Here is a 25,650-nt window from a genome sequence, read left to right as displayed (position 1 = left end):
GGGGGGTGGGATTTGTTAATCATTTTTAACTTCTGTATTATTGAACACTCATTTGGCCTTCAGAAAAAGCAAAATGGGCCTGGTACAGTGGCTCCTGCCTGTAATCCCAGCACTTTGGGAAGCCAAGGTAGGTCGACTACTTGAGGTCAGGAGTTTGAGACTAGCCTGGCCAACATGATGAAACCCCATCTCCACTGAAAATACAAAAACTACCCGGGCATGGTGTCAGGCGCCTGTAATCCCAGCCATTCGGGAGGCTGAGGCAGGAGAATCACTTGAGCCTGGGAAGCAGAGGTTGTAGTGAGCCGAGATAGCGCCACTGTACTCTAGCCTGGGCGACAGAGTGAGAGTCCATCTCAAAAAAAAAAAAAAAAAAAAAAAAAAGTTTAAGTCCATCTGGTTTTGGAAATCTTCACTTGGTTAGAGAAGTAGGGTGAGAAGTTGCTATTATTAGATTGGTACAAAAATAATTGCAGATTTCACCATTACTTTCAATGGCAAAAACACAATTACTTTTGCACCAACCTAAAAAAATAGAAAATCTTTGTATTATGTTTGTTGTCTTCACTTTTTTTTTTAAAGGAAGAATGTGTACATTCTGACCCCAAATCAGTATTAGAAACTAGGTTCTCAGATTAAATTGGCCTTTATTTCTCTTCCACTTAAATTATTTTCAGAGCATATCACAAGGGAAGAGGCACCAACGTTAAAAAGAAAAGGGAAAAAAAGACTTCTTATAATGTTAACCTATTTTAGAATGATGTTTTGAAGCAAAAGAGTGGCACTTGGTAACATATTAATCCATACCACAAGGTAAAGTAAAAGGAAAAACAGTTTTCATGTGTTTCATGGAATAACTCTTAATGAGTAAGTAAATTGATTAATTGTGGTATTAAATTATGAGTCACATTTTGTGTTACTATCTCATTTAAAATGCAATAGAGGCTGGGTGATGTGGCTCAAGCCTGTAATCCCAGCAGTTTGGGAGGCTGAGGCGAGTGGATCACTTGAGGCCAGGAGTTCGAGACCAGACTGGCCAACATGGTGAAACCTTGTCTCTACTGAAAATACAAAAAATTAGCCAGTCATGGTGGTGGGTGGCTGTAATCCCAGCTACTCAGGAGGCTGAGGCAGGAGAATTGCTTGAACCGGGGAGGCGGAGGTTGCAGTGAGCCGAGATGGCACCACTGCACTCCAGCCTGGGAGACAGAGCACAACCCTGTCTCAAAAAAAAAAAAAAAAAAAAAAAAAGCAATAGAAACAGAAAAATTCTTGGTGAAATAAGGAAACAGTTGAGTTTGTCTTAAAGGTCTATTTTGGATGAAAGAAATCATGGACCTCTATCATTACTCCATAAGGAAGAAGCCTGTTCAGGAAGTGTAGAAGACTTTTTGCTTGTAGGATGATATACTCTTCTAGAGAAGTATATTTAGCAAATATTGGCATACATAAAGCACACAATAATAAAGAGATTTGGATAGAATTTAGAATGCACATGTGGATTTCAGGATAATTTTCAACACTATGCCTTTTTATTCTGTTGGTTCTTGGGTTCTTATCGCAATGCCTGGCACATAGTGGATACTTTACATATGTATTTATTGTATGGACATGTGCAGTCAATATATTTCTGGGTCTCTAAAGTGATAATGAAGATCCTTAAAATATTATAAACAAACTAGGTGACCCTGGTTATTTAATATTCAATTATATATATTAAGCAAAATTCATTCACTTAGAAATTTTAATTAAGTTAAGATATAGCCAGCTGGGTGCAGTGGCTCATGCCTGTAATCCCAGCACTTTGGGAGTCTGAGGCAGACTGCTTGAGCCTAGGAGTTTAAGACCAGCCTGGACAACGTGGTGAAATACCATCTCTACAAAAAATGCAAAACTTAGCCAGACACAGTGGCACATGCCTATAGTCCCAGCTACTGGGGAGGCTGAGGTGGGAGGATGGCTTGAGCCTGGAAGGTCAAGGCAGCGGTGAGCCATGATTGCACAACTGCACTCTAGTCTGGGTGACAGAGCGAGACCCTGTCTCAAAAAAAAAAAAAAAAAAAAAGACATAGCCAATACTAACTAGTAAGTTATCTATATCCTAGACAGGCCAGACTTCAAGAAGTTTACCATGCCCATAAGTACAGTAGACTCAAAGTGCCTAGATTTTCCCTCTCCTAGGTATCTGTCTACCCAAGAGAAATGAAAACGTACATCCACACAAAAGCTTGTACACAAATATTCATAGCAGCCTTATTCATAATAGGTAAAAAGTGGACAGAAATGTCCATCAACTGATAAATAAACAAAACATGGAGTATCCGTTCAATGGTATATTATCTAACTATAAAAACTGAACTACAGATATATGCTATATAACATGGATGAACTTTGAAAATATTATGCTAAGTGGGGGCCGGGCACGGTGGCTCACTCCTGTAATCCCGTAACCCCAGCACTTTGGGAGGCTGAGGCCGGTGGAACACCTGAGGTCAGGAGTTCGAGACCAGCCTGGCCAACATGGTGAAACCCCGTCTCTACTAAAAATACAAAAATTAGCTGGGCATGGTGGCAGGCGCCCGTAATCCCAGCTACTCGGGAGGCTGAGGCAGGAGAATCGCTTGAACCCGGGAGGCGGAGGTTGCAGTGAGCCGAGGTTGTGCCCCTGGGGGACAAGAGTGAGACTTCGTCTCAAAAAAAAAAAAAAAAAGAAAATATATTATGCTAAGTGAAAGAAGCCAGTCACAAAAGGTCATTTATTCTATGATTCCATTTATATGAAATGTCCAGAATAGACAAATCCATAGAGACAGAAAGCAGATTAGTGGTTGCCTAGGGCTGGTTGGTGGAGAGGGTACTGGGAAGAAATGAGGAAAATTGCTAAAGGGGATGGGATTCCTTGTTGAGGTGATGAAATTGTTCTGAAATGGATTGTGATGATGATTGTAAACACTGTATTCAAAAAAAGCATTGAATTGTATACTTTATATGGGTGAATTGCATAGCATATTAATTTTTCTTTTTTCAGACAGGGTCTCACTCAGTCTCCCAGGCTGGAGTACAGTGGCATGATCACAATTCACTGTTGCCTCGACCTCCTGGCTCATGTGATCATCCAGCCTCAGCCCCCAACTCAGTAGCTGGGACTACAGGTGTTCACCACCACACCTGGCTGATTTTTTAATTGAAGCCCAGGCTTATCTGGAACTTCTGGAATCAAGCCATTCTCCTGCCACAGCCTCCCAAAGTGCTGTAATCACAGGCATAAGCCACCACCCTCAGCCCAATTATTTATCAACGAAGCTGTTACCAAAAAACAAAAAAGTTGGATCTGAATCCTGGGATTTGCCATTTACTAGTTTAGGTAAATTGCTTATGTGAGAAGGGACCAATATAGTTTCTACCTCACTGGATTGTTGCTATAAAGAGAAAATCCTGGTAAAAAGCCTCTAACTTAAAAAGCAAAAATAAGTAGTAGCTATTATTATTATTATTATTATTATTATTATTATTGACAGAGTCTGGCTGTATTGCCCAGGCTGGAGTACACTGGCACAATCTTGGCTCACTGCAGCCTCTGCCTCCTGGGCTCAAGTGATCTTCTTGCCTCAGCCTTCTGAGTAGCTGGGACTACAGGCGCATGCCACCATGCTCAGCTAATTTACAGATTTTTTTTTTGTATAGATGAGGTCTCACTATATTGGTCAGGCTGGTCTAGAACTCCTGGACTCCAGGCTATTATTAATTAATTGTTAAAGGACATTGGTCCATTCACAGACCACTCTGCTTTATTTTGTACCATTTAGGGTGCATCTCAGGCCCCATGCTTGACAACCTGCAGCATTGCCTTATGTAAAATATGCCCTGGGTCAATGAAATTCCTGCTCTTTAGATTTAAGTGGTGAAACAGAGACTAGGGCAAATGACTGTGAGGCCTGAATTTTCGGTCATAGGGGTTGGATGAGCAACAAGCAAATTGTCGTGGTGAAGGAGCAGAAGTAACCATGAAGCAACGGAGAAAGATAGGTAGGTAGTGAGAGGAGAACACAGACGCCATGGAGAAGGAGAAATTCTGTGAGTGATGTCCCGGTGTACAGTCCCGAAAATTGTCTGAATTCCTGGTAATTTACAGATCCAACCCCGAGGCATTTGGAGGATCGCAATATGCCACCACCATTGTGTGAGGTGCCACCACCAGACTGCAGAGGTTCAAGACCCACATTCAAACCTCAGTTTACCACACCACCTACTAGCCTTCTGACTTGGGCAAGTCATTTAAACTCTCTGAGCCTCGCTCCCCTAATCTGTCCAACTGGCATCATGATAGAACTTCCTTCATAGGATTGTTGAAAGAACCACATGAAATCTAAGTGCTCAGCACATAGTAAGTACCAATAAATGAGAACTATTATTAATTAATACTACAGTCTATTTTTATTAATGTGTCTTTACTCCTTGCAAGCAAAGATACTTAATTAAATAGCTGGTTATACAAAGTTATTCGCAATGCGAAGTCTTTTGATTGAAAAGTGACATTTATAAAAGGATGCTTGATAATGAAAATTGTAGAAATGTTAGTGATCTACTCAATCCCTTCTTGCACTGATAAGGAACTGACACCTGAAGAGCCTTCCAGATCACACAACCAAAGACAGACTATGCTGGGATGAGAGGCTGAGCTTCCTGACCCCAGGCTTGAGTTCAGTCTGTTGACTCTCAGATTACTGGGATTTAAACTACTAAATAAATTTAGCAAACTTTTCTATCTATTCGCTTTACCAGTTATTTATTTATTTATTCATTCATTCATTCTTTCATTCATTTTTTGAGACACATCCAGGCCGGAGTGCAGTGGCGCAATCTTGGCTCAGTGCAACCTCCACCTCCAGGGTTCAAGGATTCTCATGCCTCAGCCTCCAGAGTAGCTGGGACTACAGACGCGTGCCACCACACCTGGCTAATTTTTGTATTTTGTAAATTTTGTATTTTTAGTAGAGACGGGCTTTTACCATGTTGGCCAGGCTGGTCTCAAACTCCTGACCTCAGGTGATCCACCTGCCTTGGTCTCCCAAAGTGCTGAGATTATAGGCGGGAGCCACTGCACCCAGCCTAGTTCTTTATTTAAAAAAATTTTTTTAAACAAAAGGCATGATTAAAGTCCTAATGCTACTTAGTGTATTATATGTTATGTTATAATAAATTCACTGTTTATTACAGTAGAGTTTTATTCCACTGGGTTATTGTCCATTGATATGCCCAATTGTCACCAGGAAAGAGACACTTTTCCATGGGGGAGATCACAAGCCTGTCCTAGTTTCCCAGTGACCTACCCTGTTCTGCTGCTGCTGTGATCCAGAGAATGAACTCCTCATAGTGGAAGGAAAATGGGGTCCTTCAGGTGGCTTTTTCTTTTTTCACATAATGATAATACCAATTATCCCAGAACAAGGAGGAGAAAAAAACCCAGTTCTTACTTTCTTGTCAGATTTCCCAGAGGAAAGAGCATGGCATAGTTCCTTTTTCTTCTCCGAAATTATTTCCAAATTAGTTTGCTCCTGGCCCAGTTTACGTCTATTCATTTCTGTAGCCATTGCATCACACCCAAATGAGTTTCCTCTTTCTATTGTTCGACAAATTTTCACAAAATATTTGAAAATTTTCTGCTTCCTCTTCATTCTGTTTTGTGGGTAAAGCATTATATTCAGACTCTTTCCTCTGGGAGTCCTTTGAGTTACAAAGTTAAATGACATTCCATGGGCAGGAGACTTGGAGAAAGCTCTCACTGTTGTGAGGTGAGCGGTTTGTGAGCGGACATTTATCATCCCTGTTGGCTTATCCATGGGTGTGCCTCTGGGTGCCTTGTACGCTACTTAAGAACTTGTCATTAATTATAATAATGGTAACACATTATAATAGAAACTATTAAGGTCTTACTATGTGCTAAGTCCTTCACATAGATCATCATATTTAATCCTCATCACAATCCTAGGAGGCGGGTTTTATTTACTCTATTTGATAGATGAAGAAAATTAAGAATTCCAAAATTTAAGTAAGCCGCCCAAGATCATTCAACCTGGAAGCAGCAAGGATGGCCTGAATCCTAAACTCTTATCCACTATTTCCATGGTGCTCAAATGGTAGTCCTCAGACCAGCAGCAAATCAGCACTACCTGGGAAACTGAAAGAAATGCAAATTCTTGGACTGGGCAGTGGCTCATCACCTGTAATCCCAGCTCTTTGGGAGGTCAAGGCAGGAGGACTGCTTGAGGCCAGGAGTTCAAGACCAGCCCAGGCAACAGAATGAGACTCTCCATCTCTGTAAAAAAATTTTTAAAAATTAGTTGTGCATAAGGCTGCACAGTGAGCTATGACTGTGCCACTGTACTTTAGCCTCTGTGACAAAGTGAGACTCTGTCTTTAAAAAAAAACAAACAAACAAAAAACAAATTCTCAACCTGCACCTCAAATCTACTGAATTAGAAATTCCCAGGGTGGGGACCAGCAATCTATGTTCCAACCAGCCCTCCAGGTGATTGATGGATGCTGAAGTTAGAGAATTAATTGCACCTTGCTATGCTTTACATGCACAAAGACCACACATGTAACCAGAGAACTATAAAGATTGTCTGGGAAATGACTCCAAAAACTTTGTGTTTTTGGCCAGGAACTTGCTGGGACCCGAGGTTTCCTATCTCTCAGTGGGAGGGCTGAGAACCCCATGGTGTTTCAGAGACTCCCCTGGTATCTCCAAGTCAGGACAGTTAGCATTTCTCAAAATTCCCATTAACGCTGACATCTGAACTCAGACTATCTGTGCCTGAGCCCCAAATGGTTATCACCACCTCTACCCCATGCAAGACCACTCTCCCACTTTCCTGGCAAAAAGGGAGCATGGTGAGAGGTTGAGGGGCAGAGTCCCTCCTCTGGTCACAGTCCCACTGTGGTCCAGCTGTGTCATAGCCAAAGCACATTACCTGACTCCCCAAAGGATGCCAAGAGGATGGAGGGCACACATCTATTGACCCTTTTGCCTCTGAATTCCAGCCTGCACCTAGTGATGATGGTGGAACTGAAATATTTGGATTAGTTTCCCCTTGCTGCCATTACAAATGATCACAAACTTAGTTGCTTAAACAATACAAATGTATTATCTTACAGTTTCATAGGTCAGAAGTCCAATCTGAGGCTCATTAGGCCAAAATCAAAGTGTTATCAGGGTTGTGTTCCTTTCTGGGGGCTCTAGAGGAAAATGTTCCTTTGCCTTGCCCAGCTTGTGACAGCCACCCACATTCCTTGGCCCTTGGCTTCCTTCCTCCATGTGCAAAACCAACAATGTTGCATGTTTCTGACCATTGTTCCATGCTTTCTGACCACATTGTTGCATCTTGCTGACCACAGCCAGGAGGGGTTCTCCTGCTTATAAGGACTCTTGTGATGACGTTGAGACCTTCAGGATAATCCAGGTTATCTCCCCATCTCAAGGACCTTAACTGAATCATATCTGCAAAGTCCTTTTTACCATGTAAGGTGGCATATTTACAGGTGAGACAGGAAAAAAAGAGATAATGAATTCATATATTATTTATCAATTAGAGGAATATATAAAGCCATTTTTCCTTTGTTCCAAGACCATTTGCTAAAATATAAACCTCTGCTTTAAAAACATTTTTTTTTTTAGGGAAGAGGAAGTACTACCACATTATAGGCATCCATAGCTCAAAAAATACGTCTAGATTTCAGAACCATAAACTAGGATGGAAATTTGTCTTATAAGCAAAGTAATACCATAATAATCTCATCTAGTGTTTATTTTCCTTCTTATAACTGCCTACTTGATTTCAATGGAGCACTGTTATGAAGTAGGCAAGAAGAAGAAACTCAGGCTTACAGAAGCTTTGTGACTAAACCTAAAGTCCCCTAAATAAATTCCAGGACCCAAAGTCCAGTCTTTGACTCTAACTCTAGGACTCTTTGTATTACACTAGTCAAGACTGCTCTAAGTAGAAGTAAGTCTTCCTGGAAAGAAGTTACTTCCTCACTGAACCCCTAAGCCACCTTAGGGGATCCCCTTAGTCACACATCCCTGGGAAACCACAGAGTAATTACAAGGATTGAGAGTTCACTCCTATGTTAAGCACTAGCTGAGGTCTGAAAAGGTGATGTATATTTGTACCTTCAAATATATACAGGTGCTTCTGATGTGATTTAATATGCAGTTTCCTTTGCTAATGGACTGCCTCACAGCAGCATCTTGACATTCCATTTTCTAAAAAAAAGAACCCTAAACGTAAAACTGCTATTGAATGAACATCTGAAATATATATATATACAAAGACATATATATCTCCTCTCTACAATTGAGCTCTCATTTGTGAAAAAGTTGGGAACCATTTTTCTCCCTCATTTTATCTGACTTCAAACATTGTGATATCTAGGCTCTAAAAGAGACTCATGACTGTGATTTCTTCTATTATTTCTTCCTCTCTCTTTCCAAAGGCACATAAAGCATCTTTCACTTGCTCTAAATTTCTTTTGGTGCCGTTCTGGCTACTTCTCACCCTTCTCTCCAAACACCACTGCCCAGGAACATCAGGAAGACAAACGGTAAGTTTGGAGGAGAATAATTACAGGCTGTACTGGAGTTGTCCATCACAATGCCTGTAATGCTGCTAGCATTGCTAAGAGAAAAGTGCCCCACCCAGCACAGGTAGTAAGGGGTAGAACTAGTGGCTTATTTTGTGAACGCAGTAGTTTGCAAAATGTATGGATTAGCATCATCTTGGAGCTTGTCAGAAATGTGAATTTTTGGGTCCCACCCAAGACGTACTGAATATGGTGGCATCCCCAGCAATCATTGCTTTAAGAAGGCCCCTAAGTGAGTCTGATGCAAGCTACAGGTTTGCCTGACCCAATTGCAACTGATTGGACCAGAAATAGCTACGTGACTCAAATGCAGCTAAAGCATAGGCTTCCTATTGGTCTATGGTGTCTTGTGGTGAGAGAAAGAGGAGCTGGGCAAACCAGGCTTCCCCTTTGTGGCAGGTGAATGGGGAAACAGTGATGCTGAATGAGGCTGTGCAGTAGCATTGAGGCCATGAAGGGTCAGGAACATGCTGGGAACGGGAACTGTGACTAAGCAGAAGCTGTGAAGCCAAAAACAACAATGACAAAAAGACAACGAGGAGGGGGGAGGAAGGCAAGCCAACTGGAAGAGAAAAAATAAGTGTGCAGGGAAAAGCAGACCTTGGAGAGCTGGGGAGTGAACCAGGAGAGCAGCAGAGTGAAGTTCAAGAAAGTCCGCTGCTGAGGTCCCAGAGCTGCTGCAGCCTCTAAGCCAACTCCTGGTTCTGTTTTTCACAATGTGCCAGTGCCTTCTGAAACTAATCTTTCTGTTGTCTGCAGCTTCTGTCCTGTGTATTCTTAAAATGTATCTTTTCTTTGCATTTTCTTTAAGGAAGTCTTTCCCCATGCCCTCCACCCCCACCCCAGTGCTTTCAAGGAGTGGGGAAAGTAAGACCAGAAGCATTTGAAAAAGAAAAGGGGGCGGGGCGCGGTGGCTCACGCCTGTAATCCCAGCGCTCTGGGAGGCCGAGGCAGGTGGACCACGAGGTCAGGAAATCGAGACCATCCTGGCTAACACGGTGAAACCCCATCTCTACTAAAAATACAAAAATTAGCCGGGCGTGGTGGCGGGCGCCTGTAGTCCCAGCTACTCGGGAGGCTGAGGCAGGAGAATGGCGTGAACCCGGGAGGCGGAGCTTGCAGTGAGCAGAGATCACGCCACTGCACTCCAGCCTGGGCGACAGAGCGAGACTCCGTCTCAAAAAAAAAAAAAAAAGAAAAAAAGAAAAAGAAAAGAGGAAATGAACAAACCAAAACGAAACATTCTCTGTACATAACTTTCTCCACAGCACAAACTACAGTGCAAACTAGTAAAACTAAAAAGCCTAAATTAATAGGCTTTCCAATCAGATAATTTCACCAATAAAGGGCTCCAAAGACAGTCCAAAGAAAGAACCATATGAAAAATTTTTTTCTACCTCTAATTATTTGGACTTCTCTCTTTTACTCTCTAAGTATAGAGGAAGGTGTCCTTTTTTTTTTTTTTTAAAATACTTTGAAATGCTCAGTTTAGATATTAAATGGGTTGACAATAGAAATAATCATAACTAAAAACTCTTGAGCTATTCTTATGCACCAAGCAATGTTGTATGTCACATGGTTTAAGTTATTTAATGTCATTTTCACAAGGGCAAGAATTCTTTTCTGTTTTTTTTTCACTGATGTATTCTCAGTGCCTGGAATAGTGCTTGGCTACTAGTTGACACTCAATAAACACTTGTCTAATGAATTAATGAGAATCTTCATACAATCCTTGGGTACTATTATATCCATCTTGCAGGCCCTCCTGGATGTAAAAATGGAAAGCCACATTTCAAATGTCTATGTGAGTATAACCCTCCTGGATGTAAAAATGGAAAGCCACATTTCAAATGTCTATGTGAGTATAACACTGTCAGGCAGCAAGTTTCTACTTGGACCAAGACCATGAAGGTTTTTATTCATTGGATGATATATTCATTCATTCAGTAAATATTTACTTAGCACTTATACATACCAAGTGTTGTTCTAGCCATTGAGGTTACAGCATTGAATCCTGAAGATGCTATAGCTGCCCCCATGGGGAGACAGAGGAACAAAAGAAATCATTTCAGATAGTGACAAGAGCTATAAAGACAATAAAGGAGGTGAGGTAAAAGAGCAGAATGGGAAAGGGTTATTTTGCATTTGAGAATCAGGGAAGGTTCCTCTGAGGAGATAAGGTTTGTACTGAGACCTGCATGACAAGAAAGAGCCAGCTTTGAAAAAAGTAGGATATTGCAGGTAGAAGGAACAGCAAGTACAAAGACCCTGAGGTAGGGCTGTGCTTGATGTGTTCCAGGAGCAGTAAGAAGGATACCATGGCCAGAGCATGGTGAGCAAAGGACAATTTGATGGAAGAAGAGATCAGAAAGGAAGGCAGGGGCTAGATCATGGAGGACCTTCTTGGCCACAGTGTGGCAGCCCGGGAGTATGTGCTGAGATTGCTCTTCAAGACAGAACCTGCCTCAAGGTGTACAGTCAATGGAGAGCCCACAGCAGAGCTCTTGTAGGATTGGCCAGTGTTCCAACTGAGGCCACGCTCTTCCTGGGCAGCTCCAACAAATGATTGAACCTGGTGGGAAGAATAGGGTTCACCATTTTGGCTCAATGCATAACTCCTCTAATAAGAAGCCTTTGCTCTGGACTTCTGGTTGACCTGGACTAGACTTTCTCAGTGCAGTACCAGACTCAGAGGCTTTTCCTCCTCCATGTTCCTTCCTGCCTCCCTCCTTCCACAGGTAGGACTTGTATTCAGTTTGGAGGCTTTCCCTTCTGATTCCTTCCTATTCCCTCTCTCCTTGGGGTTTCACAGGTGTGACCCTCCCCCCAACCCCATAGGATTTCTTGCATTTCTTTTTCTTTTTTTTTATTCTTTTTTTTTCTTTTCCTTTTTTCTCTTTTTCTCCTTTTTTCTCTCTTTTTTTTTCCTTTTTTTCCTTTTTAATGTTTTTTTTTCTTTTCTTTTTCTTTTTAGAGGTGAGATCTCGCGGTTACCCAGGTTGGCTTTGAACTCCTGGGCTCAACTGCAACTACAGGTGCACCACCATGCCTGGCTTTCTCTTGCATTTTTAATGACATCTTGGCATCTCTTTTTAAGAGGAACCACACTGACACAATTGGTAGTGTGAGTAGTCTGAGAAAGCAGGTGGTAAAGTGGAGTTTGGGGACTGGGTCACTCACTGCCTGCCTGGTGATAAGGATCCCATCTTGAGTGGGGTTTGATTATTTTTGGGCACAAGGCCCAGCTGCTAAAAATGTTACTGGCAGTGACCTGGGAAAATGTCCAGGTGAAAAGGAACGCCTGTGCCAGCATGCTGACTCAGGAGTTTGAAAAGTGTAGAGGAACAATGAATGCAAGGATAATGGAATTGGCTGGTTATTACCAAGCTGCACTGACCCTCTCTACAAGGGATAATGAGAAACTGAGAGCAGTTAATAAACAGCTGAGAACCAAGTGTGAGAGCCAGAGGGTCTCTTTGGTAGTTTGCAAAGAAGTCTTCTCCTGCCGTGCAAGAGCAGACCCAGCTGAGCGGCAGAACCCAGAGTTCCACCACAGATGTTTGGATGCTCAGCCAAAGTAGATCTCCTATGCTAAATTCAGGAATCTGGTTGGAAAAACATGGGGCCTGGAACCTGAAAAGTGAGGCAGGGACATCTAGGTGGATGGCCCTGTGAAATGTGGCTCTGCAGACTCCTTTGGGACCCCAGAGGGAGCTCGCAGAGGTAGCCTCCCTACTGAGAACCAGTAGTTTCCACATGTGGAAAATACTGCATATACCAGAACTTTTTTTTTTTCCTGCTTAAAAACAACAGCCTCCCACCCCCAAGAAAGTGCCTCTACATCCTCTTGTGGCTGCCAGGTTATAGCCAGGGTCAAGTTTCAGTATAACCTGGCTGAGGGTAGGCTGGGCCTGATAAAGGACAAAGAGATTTTACTCTGAAGGAGGTGGAAGAATGAACTACGTCATGGAGAAATTGGACGGCTCATACATTGTTAGTGGGAATGTAAAATGGTACAGCCACTTTGGAAAAGTCTGGCAATTCCTCAGAAGGTTAAACAAGACCAGGAGTGGTGGCTCACACCTATAATCCCAGCACTTTGGGAGGCCAAGTCAGGAGGATCACTTGAGGCCAGGAGTTCGGGACCAGCCTGGGCAACATAGTGAGACTTCATCTTTACAAAAAAATAATAAAATGACCTGGACGTGGTAGCAGCTTGTGATCCTGCAGGCTGAGGTAGGAGGATTTCTCAAGCCCAGGAGGTTGAGGCTGCAGTGAGCTGTGATCATGCCACTGCACTCCAGCAATCCAGCCTGGGTAGCAGGGCAAGATCCTGTTTTTTTTTTTTTTTTAAACCCAAACCCAAAAGGTTAGAATTTCCATATGACCCAGCAATCCCACTTCTAGTATATATGAAGACAAATGAAAACATGTGCAAACAAAAACTTGTACATGGATGTTCATATCAACATTATTCATCAAACCCAAAAAGTGGAGCCAAGTGTCCTGCACGTGTGAAGTAGATAACATTTTGACTTGTGCCTTTCCTACTCCAAGAGCCTCAGGCAGCATCACTGTCTGAGGGCTTTCAGAATGCCTTATGCATAGGCATATATTCCTACACCACATGACATCTGACCGGGGACCCACTTCACAGTGAAGGAGGTGCAGGGGTAGGCCATGATCACAGAATCCAGTGGTTTTATCCCTTACAATACGAACCCAAAGCAGCTGGCCTCATAAAGGGTGAAAATGGCTTACTGAAAGCACAGCTGAAACGCCAGCTTGGATGCAATTTCCTGCAAAGATGGGGCCATCTATAAGGATGCAGTATACGCCCTCAATTAGAGATGTCAGACTTGTTCCCACGTAGGAAGAATATATAGGTTCCACCAAGAGGTGGAAGTAGAAGTAGCCCCACTTACTATTACTCCTACTGACTTACTGGGATTTTGTTCTCCCATCCCTGCAACTCTGAGCTCTGCAGAGCTGCAGGTCCTGATCCACAAAGGGATGCTGTCTTTCTGTGGACACAACCAGGGTCCCATTGAACTACAAGCCATGGCTACCATCAGGGCACTTTGCATTCCCTGTGTTCAGGAACCAGAAAGCAAGAGAAGCCTCTAACCTGGAGGGAAAATTGATGCTGCTCAGCAGGAAGAGTGTCAGATGTCTTCTCAAAACTGCAGTGGCACCAACTTTCACAGTAAAAGCTTACCAGAACATCCATGACTTGGCCCAATGTTACCTTTCTGTTCTCCTTTCATCCATGACTTGGCCCAATGTTACCTTTCTCATCTCCTTTCCTTTCTTCTCTCCCCCTTGCTCACTCCACTGTAGCCATGCTGAACTCTTTGATGTTCAGTGAGCAGACAAGCTGCTTTCAGGACTGGGGTCTTTCATCCTCCCAGCTTCATGAGATAGAAGGAGCAAGAAAGGCTACAAAATGCAGAAGGAGCTCACACGTGAGACGGAGGGTGAGAGATATTTTATATAATTACACTAATTCGTACGAGCTGATGGCTGAGTTGGACTTTTTACCTCTTAATTTTTAGAACAAGCCTCCTCACTGACAGGAGCAAAATATTAGAGTGGAAAATATTGATGAGAAATCTCTCATCGATCTCATACTCATTGATTATTGACTAAAAAGTTAGCCTGAGACAAAAGAATGATCGTCCTGGAGAACCAACAAAGTTCCATCTTTCATAATGATTAGTAATAGCAAAGTTATTTTTGAGATATGTTAAATGTCAGGTACCAGGCTACACCTTTTATATACTTTGTGTTATTTAATCCCCATAAAATCTATAAGAAAAAGGAATTATTATTCCCATTTCACACACGAAGAAATAGAGGCTCAGAAAGCTGAAATAATTTGCCTAGGTCATACTTCATGTAAAGTGGCCAGCTTTAACCACAGCTCTTTGTGAGTCTAAGACCTATATTATTTTCTCCACAATTTGATTCCCCTTAAGAGAAAGAGATAATCGTTACTTCATTTGTTCATTCACTTATCCATAATTTAATAAATGTTCACTGAGTGATCATGTGCAGGCTTGGCCTGATTTTGCTGATACAGTGGCAAACGAATAGGCTCCTGCCTTACCTTCATGGAGGTTATAGCCTAATGGTATAGCTGGACCAGGAATCAAAGAAGTTCAGGTCTCTGAAGCGCAGCTGACACAGCATGTGCTGAGACTGATATTTGAAGGAGGCGAACAAAGATTACCGTTGACCTAGACCTTGACTATATATTATGCACAGTAAATACATACAACCTTGGTTAAGGCATTGACCTTTTAGCTTCATCAATTTTGAAATGAGTATAGTAATAATACATTTCTTGCCAAGTGGTTGTAATCTCAAATGAGAAAATGTGTGAAAGGCCTTGGCAAACTGTAAAATAGTCAACAAGGAGAAAAGGCCTTTTTTTTTTTTTTGAGAGATGGTCTCACTTTGTCACCCAGGCTGGAGTGCAGTGGCACAATCATGGCTCACTGCAGCCTCTGCCTACCAGGCTCAAGTGATCCTCCTGCCTCAGCCTCCGAAGTAGCCAGGACCACCGGTGTGCGTCACCATGGCCAGTTAATTTTCTTAATTTTTTGTAGAGACAAGGTCTTGCTGTGTTGCCCAGGCTGGTCTCAAGCTCCTGGCCTCTAGCGATTCTCCTGCCTCGGCCTCCTAAAGTGCTGGGATTACAGGCTTGAGACACGGTGCCTGGCTGGTCTTTTCTTTATGCTAAAAAAATTCAAACAGATGCTACATTAGAATAGTGCAATAAACACCCAGATGCCCATCAACCAGCTATGACAGTTATCAACTCATGGCCAATCATGCTTCATCTTTAGCCAGACCCTGATTACCCATTTTTTGGGAAGCAAATCTTTGACTGCCTATATTTTTATCCATATATATATATGTGTGTGTGTGTGTGTGTGTGTGTGTATACCTCAGTGAGTGTGTGTGTACCTCAGTGAGGGGATTCTTTTAAAAAATATAGCCACAAATACCATTATTACTCCTAAAAGCCTAAAAACAAAATTTACAGCAATTCCTTAATTTTATCAAATATTATAATTTGACTTAGTGGTTAAATTTCCCTGATTATCTCAAAAATTTTGAACTCAGTAGGTTTGAATTAGTATTTAGATAAGGTTCACATATTGCAGCTGGCTGCTATGTTTTTTTTTTTTTTTTTTTTTTCAGATGGAGTCTTGCTCTGTCCCCAGGCTGGAGTGCGGTGGCGCCATCTCGGCTCACTGCAAGCTCCACCTCCCGGATTCATGCCATTCTCCTGCCTCAGCCTCCCGAGTAGCTGGGACTACAGGCGCGTGCCACCACGCCGGGCTAATTTTTTGTATTTTTTAGTAGAGATGGGGTTTCACCGTGTTAGCCAGGATGGTCTCGATCTCCTGACCTCGTGATCCACCCGCCTCGGCCTCCCAAAGTGCTGGGATTACAGGCTTGAGCCACCGCGCCCGGCCTGCTATGTTGTTTTTTAATCTGTAAGTTTCTCCTTCATCTTCTTTTTGTTTTGGTTTTGCATTTTGTTCGATTACGGAACTGTAGAACAGTGGTTCTTAAACTTAAGTGTGGATTAGAATCATCTGGAGAGCTTGTGAAACCCTGGATTGCTGTGTCCAGTCCCCACGGATTCTGATTCCGTATTGTATTTCTCTTTTTTTTTTGAGACGGAGTCTTGCTCTGTCGCCGAGGCTGGAGTGCAGTGGCGGGATCTGGGCTCACTGAAACCTCCGCCTCCCAGGTTCAAACGATTCTCCTGCCTTGGCCTCCCGACTAGCTGGGACTACAAGCGCGCCATTACTGGGTCTTTGTGAGGATTAAATGAGATTTTAAAAAGTGAAGTGCTTAGCATAGTACTCTGGCACTTACCAAATGCCCAGCAAATTTGACTGTTATTTTTCAACCAAGAAATCATAAAGGGGTGCACGGTCTGTGGAAGGCCTTGAGTTTTGTGGAGTTTTGTGTTTTGCTGCGTTTTGACGTTAGCACAGGCAAGCAGCAGCGCCAAAGAAGTACCTGAAGAAAGGTGAAGAGCAACTCTCCTGGTCACTTCGTAAGTCAGCTCAAAATTCTGCCCCTTTAAGGAGGGCTCAGCCACGTGACCAACCGGGTCACATGGCCCGCGGGACAACATGGCTGCGCCCGCACTAGGGCTGGTGTGTGGACGTTGCCCTGAGCTGGGTCTCGTCCTCTTGCTGCTGCTGCTCTCGCTGCTGTGTGGAGCGGCAGGGAGCCAGGAGGCCGGGACCGGTGCGGGCGCGGGGTCCCTTGCGGGTTCTTGCGGCTGCGGCACGCCCCAGCGGCCTGGCGCCCATGGCAGTTCGGCAGCCGCTCACCGATACTCGCGGGAGGCTAACGCTCCGGGCCCCGTACCCGGAGAGCGGCAACTCGCGCACTCAAAGGTGCTCCATCGATTCCTCCGAGGCGGGTGGGGGCTGCTCGGTTCCTGGACGGGGTTGGAGTAGGCAAAGCAAGGCACTAGTAGGAAGGGAAGTAAAGGTTATAACCACACCCCAAATCGAGCACCTGCTGTTCCCGTATGAGGAGTTCCTTCTCCGTGCCTCACCGGAAGACTCCATTTAATTGACCATTAGGGAGTTTGGTTTGAGGGTTATTGTTACTTCTTTACCCCCTATTTCTTTCTCCCTCCAACCTGTTCTCTTAATGAGGATCTCATAATTTTAAGGCAATCAAATTATGGTTTAAATCACCATTTCCTCTCTTATTAACGGAATAAATTAGGATCCTGGGTCTCAGTATCTTCACCAGGGTTGTTGTATACTTATCTGTAGTCTCCTCGAGTACACTCTGCTTGAGGACAAGGGCTTGAATTGTTTATCCTGCTATTCTTAGCACTTTAGCACTTAGGAAGGGCTAAGCAAACTGTAGTTGTTTTATTGCTATTATTTATCTGTCTTGCTTAGCGCCTGTATGTGTTAGGTGCCGGGATATATAAATAACTTACTGGCCGGGCGCGGTGGCTCACATGCCTGTAATCCCAGCACTTTGGGAGGCCGAAGCGCGCGGATCACGAGGTCAGGAGTTCGAGACCAGCCTGGCCAACATGGCGAAACCCCGTCTCTACTAAAAATACAAAAATTAGCCGGGCGTGGTGGCGGGCGCCTGTAATCCCAGCTACTCGGGAGGCTGAGGCAGGAGAATTGCTGGAACCCGGGAGGCGGAGGTTGCAGTGAGCCGAGATCTTGCCACTGCACTCCAGCCTGGGCGACAGGGCGAGACTCCGTCTCGAAAAAAAAAAAGAAAGAAAGAAATAACTGTTACTTCAATCTGTCTGCCCGGTATTTTGCATATTGATGTGTTGTCGAAACAACTTATGGGTCTAAAGGTCAGGTCTTCTGACTCCTAAACTAGTGCTCCTTCTTGTTTACTTAGCAGACACTATCCTTTTCCCATTCCATTTTTCTTTCCTTTGGGTTAATCCTGACCAATATTTAGGACTTAGGTGAGAGGTAACATCCACAGTAGGTTTTACCTGATCTCCTCTTTCTCTCCCCTTCAATATTTCCGTATCCTGCCTCAGTAGTTATGTGTTTATTCTGACATAACAATTATTAAAGATGTTTTTCTGCTGATGTCTCTCCCCAACTGGACTGTGAGGGTGATGGGGTCAGGACCATGATTTAGTCTCTCAGGTGTAGAGTGTAGGAGGTTGATACCTGGGCTTCTCATTGTTTTTCCATCCTGTATAATTTTTGGCCTTTACTTTTTTTCCTGTTACCCTTAGAGCATGTCCTGCAGTACTGTTTATCTTTTGTGTGTTGAAGACTCCTGATTACTGTTTTAGTGTGTATTGGCCATACTTGATATTAATTCCTCTCTAACTTGCCTGGTAATTGATAATCAATCTCTCTTTCTTTTTTCTTTTCTTTTTTTTTTTTTTAGACGGAGTCTCGCTCTGTCACCAGGCTGGAGTGCAGTGGCGCGATCTCCGCTCACTGCAATCTCCACCTCCTGGGTTCGAATGATTCTCCTTCCTGCCTCAGCCTCCCAAGTAGCTGGGATTACAGGCACACGCCACCATACCCAGCTAATTTTTGTATTTTTAATAGAGATGGGGTTTCACCATGTTGGCCCGGATGGTCTCAATCTCCTGACCTTGTGATCCGCTTGCCTTGGCCTCCCAGCGTGCTGGGATTACAAACGTGAGCCACCGCGCCAAGCCAGTCTGTCCCTCTTTCTAAGGAGAAATCCTTACATCTGTTTATCTATTTTTTAATAGGGCAGCCATCTCATTTGCATATATACATTGGTCTGTCTCAAAATTTTATCTAGATTCCTCTGGCAAGCATTGAACATTTTTCATTTTTAAACATTCTATTTTCCTCTGGGTTCCAGAATGGGATGTGGATGTTAGAATCTTTTGGATTACATTTACAAGATGTACATTTTTCATCCCTATAGAGTGGTTTTGTGTCTTGACTGGATGCTATATGGGCCATCTTTGGCCAGTTCTTATAGTCTGCTTTCTACAATGCTTAGGGGCATCTCAATTTATTAACAAATTAGTGGTTGATGAGAATATACCTTCAAGCCTTCAAGGGCTGAACTTAATGACTGAAACTGAAGCAGTCTTGTTATCAAGACAATGACGTCATAGGAGGCTGTTCTTAATCTCTCTATTTTCCTTGGTTTCAAATGTTTTAGTTCATGTGCAGATGACTTTGGTCTAATTCTGACACTTTACCATTTATTCTAAATTCAGGAACTCCAATATTTCAGGAGAAGTAAATGAGCATAGTGGTGTTTCTGCCTTTTTTCCCCTCTTTGTTTTCTGTTTATTTGGTTTAATTAAACAAATGTTTATTTGGCACATTACTATATAACACTTGTTATGTAAGATTCATCCTATGTGCTGGGCATACAGAAAAAGACCCATACACTACCCACATGGCATTTACACTCTGGTAGGTGTTTCTCTCTCTCTCACACACACACACACACACAAACACACACAGACACACACATAAGTATCATTTTTCTATAGTGAGAATACTATAGGAGGGATATGTCCAGAGTACCTGGAGAGGAAGAAAGAATTAATTCTTCATGGACAAGTCGAGTAGTGCCTCAAAAAAAAAAAGGCCACATTTGAGCTAGGCCTTGGAGGAAATATTTTTCGGAGCTGGGAATGGAATTCCAGATTCAAGGACATTCCAAGAAGGAGAATAGTATCAACACATGGCACATTGTGGAAATGCGTGGTGTGTGCTGGGAAACATAAGTGATTTAAGATCTGGGAGTGACATGTTCACACTTTTTAATGTAACACTTTTTAGATGAGTCTTTTTTTGTTTTTGTGTATTCATACAATGAGTGTGTGTGGCAAGGTGAGGGGCACAGAGAAATAACACTGGGCTTTGCCCTCAAGAAATTTTCAGTTTCACTAGAAAGTTATGGCGATTAGAATTGTCTGGGAAACAATATAGATGTTTAAAAATTTAATGTGTATTCCCTCTGGTTATAAAAATATGATTCTCATTGAGAAAATTATCCTAATAGTTTTCTGCGTGGGTTATGATTTTGTAACAAGGAAGCAAAATGTTTTAGTCTGCTTTTATCTTTTAGAAGAGTTATTTGAAAGGCATTTAGGATCATGGGATGCTAAGATTGTAGGTGGCATGTCTGTACATATGGATAAAGTCAGTCTTGATTTCCTGTCTGAGGAGGTTTCTGACTGGTAATGCTTCCCTGGGCAATGAGGCACAATCGAATGCCGTCTCTTCCATGAAACCTTTCCACCTCCTACAAAGAAGTAGTTTTTCTATCCTCTCAGTTCCCATAGCTTATTTTGTTGTTGTTTGATGACAACTTGTATATTTTCTTCAATATGGTGCTAGTGTTTTTTTGTTTTGTTTTGTTTTGTTTTTGAGACGGAGTCTCGCTCTGTCACCCAGGCTGGAGTGCAGTGGTGCAATCTCGGCTCATTGCAACCTCTGCCTACTGGGTTCAAATGATTCTCCTGCCTCAGCCTCCCAAGTAGCTGGGACTACAGGCACCTGCCACCACGCCTGGCCAATTTTTGTATTTTTAGTAGAGACGGGGTTTTACCACGTTGGCCAGGATTGTCTCGATCTTTTGACTTCGTGATCCACCTGCCTCTGCCTCCCAAAGTGCTGGGATTACAGGCGTGAGCCACCGCGCCCAGCCCTAATGTAGTGCTAGTTTTGTAGTTGTCTGATATTCTACATTGGAAGCATTTTTAGATGTTTTAATCTCTATATCCCCCACGTGCCTTATACATTTTAGGCATTCTGTAATAATTTCTTGAATGACCTGTGTTTCCTTTTTTGGTGGATACAGTATTGAGAAACTGCCTTGGGAATAGAGAAGGTCACATACTTTTTCAAGAAACATTTGTAAAGTATTCTTTTGCTGTATTCATCCTCCTAAGAATCCTGTGAGAGAGATCATCTCCCACTTTACAGATGAGGCAACTGAGGCTTAAAGGAATCATATAGCTCAGAACTGCAAGAAACTTTGAATGTCATTTCATCTATGATTAGTGTCTGTCTGTAGAGGCAGGAGGGTGACAGAATGGTATAGATAAATAAGCCCTGTATAGATAGATAAGGCAGGAGTTTGTGGACAGATCCAGAGAGCATGCTTCTCTTATTCACCCAGCTTTCTCATGAACCTTTAGCTTATTTTATTTTATTTTTTATTAGAGGGGACTCAGAACAAGAGCCTTTAGCTTTTAATGTTAAGGTTGAGGAGAGGAAAGAAGGAAAAGGAGAAGTTACACAAAAAAGTTACGTATGAGCTGATTCTATTTTTGTGTACAAGACAAAAATCTTACGGTAGCAAGTGAAAAAAAGACAAGACTGGCTTAAGCAGGAAAAAACTGGAAGGGACATTTATAGCTCCCCTAGTTGGGAAGTTCAAGAGTAAATATGGCCCCAGACACACCTGGATACAGGGCCTCAGGCAGCATCTCCAAGGCCTTTCTCTTTGGCTATCTCTTGGCTCTTCTGCATAGTCGGCTCCATTGTCAGGTAATGTCCCTTCTCCTACTGATAAGATAACTAGAAGAGAAAAAGTTCTTTCCTGGTAGCTCCAGCAAAAGTTCAAAGATGAACTTTGATTGGGTCTTGGGCCTATCCCTAATTACATCTCCGTGGTCAAAAGAATGCTATGGTTGGCCAGGCTTGGTGGGGGTTGGGAAGTAGGATAGAGTCATCCAGTACCCCTGGGCCACTTAGAAAGCTTAAGAAATGGTTTTGGAAAGGAACTTCAGTATTTTACAAGAAGTAGAGGGATTGGGTGCCGGATGGACCAAAATAGCAGTGCCCACTGCACATGGCCTAAGTGTGTAGCCCACATATGGTTCTGTTATTCCAATGAATAATAGAGTCATTCTTTACTTCACTTATGCTTCTGGCTTGAGTGGCAGTGGCAGAAGCTGTGGTGTGGCAGGGAAGGGGTTATCTCACCTTCAGATTGGAGGAGATATGGATTGTTTGAATTTGAACCTTCAGTGAAGAGTTGACTAAAATGGTCCTTTTTATGTGGCTTTGGATCCTACAGAGTGAGACACTTGGTTCTCTGGTTTTCACTTGAATGACATTTGACATTTGTAGGACAGAAAACTTTATTTCATTAGTATAAATGAGAAATTATGATCCACTCAGAGTGATCCAGGCTATTTTTATCTATAGTCTCCAGAATGGAAACTTGGCTTATTCAGCACTGGCTATCTCTGATGGTTAATGAAAGAAGGAAAAAAAAAAAACTCGGCCGGAAGTTCACATGGAAGTCATGATTGCATTAGCATTGTTGGTACTCACCTTGAGGGAGAAGAAGATGAGAAAAGTTAGATAATTGTAAAAGTTCATTAGGTACAATGGGCACAGCTTCCTGTGGTCCTTTGAGCTGAGGGATGAGCAACTGTTCTCCTAACAGGAAGTATTTGCCACAGGAAAGCTTTTTCTTTAAGTCTTTTATGAAATCTCTTATTAGAGCCTCTTAATCATTTTAAGACTGCTCTTGAAACTTTTGTCTGATGTCTTCAATTTTTCTACTTCTTTGTAGAGCTGCTTAAAATGTTGATTTCTCCTTTTAGGACTGGGTTATCTTGTGTCCCAGCACTTAGAGTATAGTGAGAATAATGGACAACCTAGTTCGGTCCTTGACCTACATCTGTTAGACAGGTTTCACTGTGATGTTGACATGTTATGCATGTCTAGAACTGTTATAAATTAAATAGCATTTTTATAATTATGCATAATTCAAATGATAAATTCCTCATTACAGTCATGACCTCATTCAATTGGTAAAGATTTTTGTGTCTGCTGTGGACCATGCACCATGCTAGGCAGTGGGGATATAGAAATAAAAGATTCATTTCTGGTCCTCAAAGAGCCTAGGTTCTAGGGAAGATGAAAACACAGAATTAAGATACTTTGGGTGGGATGCGGTGGCTCATGCCTGTAAGCCCAGCACTTTGGGAGGCTGAAGCAGGAGTATCACTTGAACTCAGAAGTTGGAGACTAGCCTGGGCAACATAACAAGACCTCGTGTCTACTAAAAAAAAAAATTAGCAGGGTGTGTTGGTGTTCACCTGTAGTGCCAGCTGCGTAGAGGCTGAGGTGGGAGAGTTGCTTGAGACCAGACGATCAAGGGTGCTGTGAGCTGTGATCACGCCTCTGCACTCCAGCGTGGGGTGACAGAGTGGGACTCCATCTCTTAAAAAATATATATATATATATATGTATATATATACACACACACACTCTCACACACACACACACACACACACACTGTGTGTGTGAGGGCACATGAGCTAGAGGGATATGCAGGCAGGAAAGGCCTCCTGGAGGAGCTGATCCTTGAACCATGACAATATTTACCAAGAGACAAAGTGGTTTATGGAAATGCGGGTGAAAGACAGGGCAAGAGAGAGTGTGAGAGATGAGCTCTGATGTTTATATATGTTATTCTGAAAGGCGATAGGAATTCCTGACAGTTTTAAGTAGGAAAGTAGTATGGTCAGATTGACACTTTATTTTTTAAAACAGGTAGTATATTTACGTGGTTTAAAAATTTAAAAACATATAGAAGAGTATATAGTGAACAATTTCTCATTTACCCAGTAACTTTCCCCTCAGACAACCACTGCATGCATTTCTTATATATTTCCTCAGAGCTATGTTCTGCAAATATAAGTAAATACAAAAATAGTGTACCTGTATCCCTCAACCTACTTTCACGCTAATGACAGCATACCATACTTAGCATTTGTGCACCTTGCTTTGTTCTTGTAGCTCATCATGGTGAGATCTTTCCATATCAATATATCAAAAGCATCCTTTTTTATCCCCCTCTTCTTTTTTCTTTCCTATGGCTGCTTAATTTTCCATTTTATTGAAGGCCCACAATTTACTTAAAATGAGCCTGCTATTGATGGACATTTAGATTGTTTCCAGCCCTTTTCAGTTGGAAAATTGCATTGGGTACAGTAGACTAACATTTTCAGAAGGATTAGTAGGGGCTTAAATATTTGTTGAATGAATTATTGAATGGAAGATAGATGACTTGGAAGCAGGTGGGGATGTGAAAGGAGACTGAAGACAGGAACACCAATTACAAGGGTTCTGCAGTTATCTGGGGGTAGAAAAGAGGGAGAGATTAGAGAGATACATATTTAGGAAATCTAGTGAGACTAGGTGGCCTGTGTAATATTGGGAGTAGGGGATGTGAGTAGTCAAGGTTGATTTCTTGGGATAGTAGTAATACATTAGACAAATAAAAACACATTTATTACTAATTTATCATAAATGAAAACAGCACCATTTTTATTGGGAAGTACACGCATAGAATCAAAGCAGCCACCAGCAAGGAAAGCCAGTAGAAATGGAAAGTAGAATCAATGACTGTGGATTCCTAATTTCTGTTTCTTCTGATGTTATTTTTCTAATGCTTCTGCCCGTATTGCTAAGTGACTCTCTTTTTTTCCAACTAGTCCATCTCTCCTTGACTTCTTTTTTTTCCCCTTTCTAATTTGAGCCCTTGTTTTTTAAAATTTTATTTTTAATTGACAAATAATTTTATAATAATTTGTGGGGTACAACGTGATGTTTTGATATATGTTTACATTGTGGAATGAGTAAATCAAGCTAATTAACAAATCCATCAGCTCACATACTTATATTTTTTGTGTGGTGGAAACATTTAAAATCTATTTTTTAATAATTGCGAAATATATAATGCATTACTTATTATAGTCACCACTCTGTGCAATACATCACTAAAGCTAATTTCTTCTATCTAACTGAAATTTTGTACCGTCTGATCAACATCTTTCCTTTCCCCATCTTCCCCTCTCCCCCAGCCTCTGATAACCACCATTCTACTTCAATTAGTTCAACTTTTTTAGATTTCACATATGAGTGAGATCATCAAGGCATTTGTCATTTTGTGCTTGGCTCATTTCACATAGCATACTGTCCACTAGGTTCATCCATGCTGTCATAAATGACAGAGTTTTCTTCTTTTTTTTTCTCTTGAGACGGAATCTAGCTCTGTTGCCCAGGCTGGAGTGCAGTGGCTCCATCTCGGCTCGCTGCAAGCTCCGCCTCCCAGGTTCACGCCATTCTCCTGCCTCAGCCTCCGGAGTAGCTGGGACTACAGGCGCCCGCCACCAACGCCTGGCTAAGTTTTTGTATTTTTAGTGGAGACGGGATTTCACCGTGTTAGCCAGGATGGTCTTGATCTCCTGACCTCATGATCCCCTTGCCTCGGCCTCCCAAAGTGCTGGGATTACAGGCGTGAGCCTCCGCACCTGGCCGAGTTTTCTTTTTAAGGCTAAAAAGTATTCTGACATTTATATATATATGTATATATAAACATTTTCTTTATCCATTTATATGATAAGGGACATCTAGGTTGCTTCTGTATCTTAGCTATTGTGAATAATGCTGCCATGAATTTGGGAGTGTAGATATTTTTTCAGCATACTGGTTT

At 42.3% G+C, this 25,650-nt stretch overlaps 1 protein-coding gene and 1 long non-coding RNA gene across 14 annotated transcripts in view, besides 3 other annotated features; one reads left to right on the top strand and one right to left on the bottom strand.

Annotated features, from left to right (window-relative positions):
• Positions 8,902–8,951: a silencer, noted in NCBI's record as "silent region_14017". NCBI's record gives its function as "represses an Ori minimal core promoter by ATAC-STARR-seq in GM12878 lymphoblastoid cells {active_cell/tissue: GM12878}" and the evidence as "EXISTENCE:reporter gene assay evidence [ECO:0000049][PMID:35858748]".
• Positions 14,649–17,224, bottom strand: LOC124909340 (uncharacterized). Its single transcript, XR_007095789.1, has 2 exons — positions 16,540–17,224; positions 14,649–15,384 (listed from the first exon to the last, which is right to left on the bottom strand). It is a non-coding gene; the product is annotated as an uncharacterized LOC124909340 (long non-coding RNA).
• Positions 16,553–16,732: an enhancer, noted in NCBI's record as "active region_19348". NCBI's record gives its function as "activates an Ori minimal core promoter by ATAC-STARR-seq in GM12878 lymphoblastoid cells {active_cell/tissue: GM12878}" and the evidence as "EXISTENCE:reporter gene assay evidence [ECO:0000049][PMID:35858748]".
• The window catches only part of SUMF1 (sulfatase modifying factor 1), a 432,784-nt gene continuing 423,912 nt past the window's right edge, over positions 16,779–25,650 (top strand). For all 13 annotated transcript variants that reach the window (XR_007095664.1, XM_017006254.3, XM_017006253.2 and 10 more), the window contains exon 1: positions 16,779–17,072. Coding sequence is in view for 12 of the 13 variants with exons in the window: in XM_017006254.3 (XP_016861743.1) it covers positions 16,803–17,072 (270 nt within the window). In the remaining variant the exon portion in view is untranslated. The remainder of the gene's footprint in view (positions 17,073–25,650) is intronic.
• Positions 16,903–17,082: a silencer, noted in NCBI's record as "silent region_14016". NCBI's record gives its function as "represses an Ori minimal core promoter by ATAC-STARR-seq in GM12878 lymphoblastoid cells {active_cell/tissue: GM12878}" and the evidence as "EXISTENCE:reporter gene assay evidence [ECO:0000049][PMID:35858748]".

This window comes from Homo sapiens, chromosome 3, assembly GCF_000001405.40.
Source record: "Homo sapiens chromosome 3, GRCh38.p14 Primary Assembly".
Taxonomy (NCBI): Eukaryota; Metazoa; Chordata; class Mammalia; order Primates; family Hominidae; genus Homo; species Homo sapiens.
This window is presented reverse-complemented; position numbering and strand designations above follow the sequence as displayed.